The following is a 2,131-nucleotide window of genomic DNA, read 5'->3' on the forward strand; positions in this document are numbered from 1 at the left end:
ATTACTAAGGCAATTTTTAGCTCAACACAAAATATAGCCAGAGAGGATTTTCTTAATGCTTTGAAGAAAGATTTTTTTAAAGGCCATACTTAATCTTAGAGTAAATCTCTTTACTCCTCCCTATTCCAAGGGTCAGAACAGTCTAAATAACCCCAATTCTGCTATCTCAGAGGAGAGGGACAAGCCAGTTTCACACAACTGTGGCAGGGATTTGGGCAGAGGACATACTGAAGGAGAGTTAATATTGGTAAGTACTGTTATCACAGACATCTGCGTGGCCAGAAGAAAATCCAAACAAATAGCTAGAATGATAGAAATATAGCTCATGAAGAGAGCACTTTAAAGTCTGAACCTGAAAAACTGCAGAGAGACCAAAACTGCTTTGTTTTTGTATTCACTCCAATACAGGAAGTCACCAGGTCTCAGAGGGATGGGAATCACATGGGAATCAGTGTGAGGTGCAGAACCAGGAAACAGTGAGCACAGTGATACCAGGAAAGGCAGGACCAGAATATTTTAATATATTATAAAGTGATAGTAGGTCACTGAGATAAAATATAACCTTTAGAAGAATGTGTTTTATGTGGGTTATAAATGGAGTCACAAAAGAATTTTTGCCTTTCCAAATTATTTACCTTGCCTGGAGGCAAACATTCATTTGGAAAAAGGAATTAGTTCCCACAATAGTAGTCAAAAAAATTGTTTATACCATGAATAATTTCTCTGTTTTATGTTTATCTCACTCTTTCTCTAGATCTCTAATTTTAGATTCAAAATGATTAATTTTTAAAATACTTTGAATAAGATCATTCTAGATTGACAAAACTAGTATAGTTCATACTTCTTTAAAATTTTAAATATTTGGTCATTAATTATGATTACTTGTAAGATTTATATAACAAGAGAAAAAGTTAATTTGTAAAATTGAAAATTTTACTGGAGACATTAAGCTAAATATTTGAATTAGAATCAAACTGCTCATACAATTATTCTCAAAAATGCCACAATGGTTCTAGATGTGATTACCAATCTGTACCTTCATTCTCTTAATTCTCCTGTTTTCTCTTCGACTCTTCCTTTCCAAGTCTCCACCAGGTCTCCTATTCCTCCTCCACCCCTTTATACCTCCTTATGAGTCGCCATTCCACCTTTCACACACCCACTGATCATCTTATTTGTTCTCTTTGAAAAATCTCTCTATTCACACGTGTTTAACTGTTGTCTACATGCACAGTGTCTTGGTCAGTTTGGGCTGCTAAAACAAAGTACCTTGGTTTGAGTGGCTTAGACACAACAGAAATTTATTTCTCCTAATTCTAGAGACTGGAAGTCTGAAATCCGGGTGCCAGCATGGTTAAGTTCTGATGAGGACTCTCTTCTGGATTGTAGACCGCCAACTTCTACTTTTATCCTCACATGGTAGAAAAAGAGTAAAAGAGTTCTTAGGGTCTCTTTTGTAAGGGCCCTAATTTCATTCATGAGTGCTCCACCCTCATTACCTAATTATTTCCCAATACCTCGCCTTCTGATATAATTATATTTGGGAATTAGAATTTCAACAAATGAATTTTGGGTGGACACAAACGTTTGGTTTATAATACTTAGATTATCACATTTTACCCTGATCTTTCCCTAACCTTACAACTCCTATATCCATTGAACATATCTACCTGGAGATCCATGATGACTCAAAGGCAACATTTCTAATAGTGAACAATACACCATTTTTTTAGCCAGTTTTTTTTTTTTATCCTTCCCTATTTCTGAACACAGTTCATGAAACCATTGTGTAGCTTCTGAGAAGTAAAGCTAACTTTCCTACGTTTAGTCCCTATTATTTGCTAGCCTATTTGTCTTGGTTTTGACTCCCTTTTCATAATTCTGCATATGCTTATCTCACAACTACGGCTCTTCTCTTTCAATTTGAATGGCATTGGATTAACACACAAATCTTTCCTTGACTGTGAGATCTGTTCAGTTTCTCAAAACAACTAGTTTTCAAAATTTTGTTTTCTAATACCCTGCTTCAAGGAGATTAACTAAGAGATAAATTATTTAAAACATACTCTCCAAGTTTCTTCAATTCCCGTGGTCCCCATGGACTTCAGCTATAGCTTTTATGCAGCTCTTC

Source organism: Homo sapiens, chromosome 11, assembly GCF_000001405.40.
Source record: "Homo sapiens chromosome 11, GRCh38.p14 Primary Assembly".
Classification (NCBI taxonomy): Eukaryota; Metazoa; Chordata; class Mammalia; order Primates; family Hominidae; genus Homo; species Homo sapiens.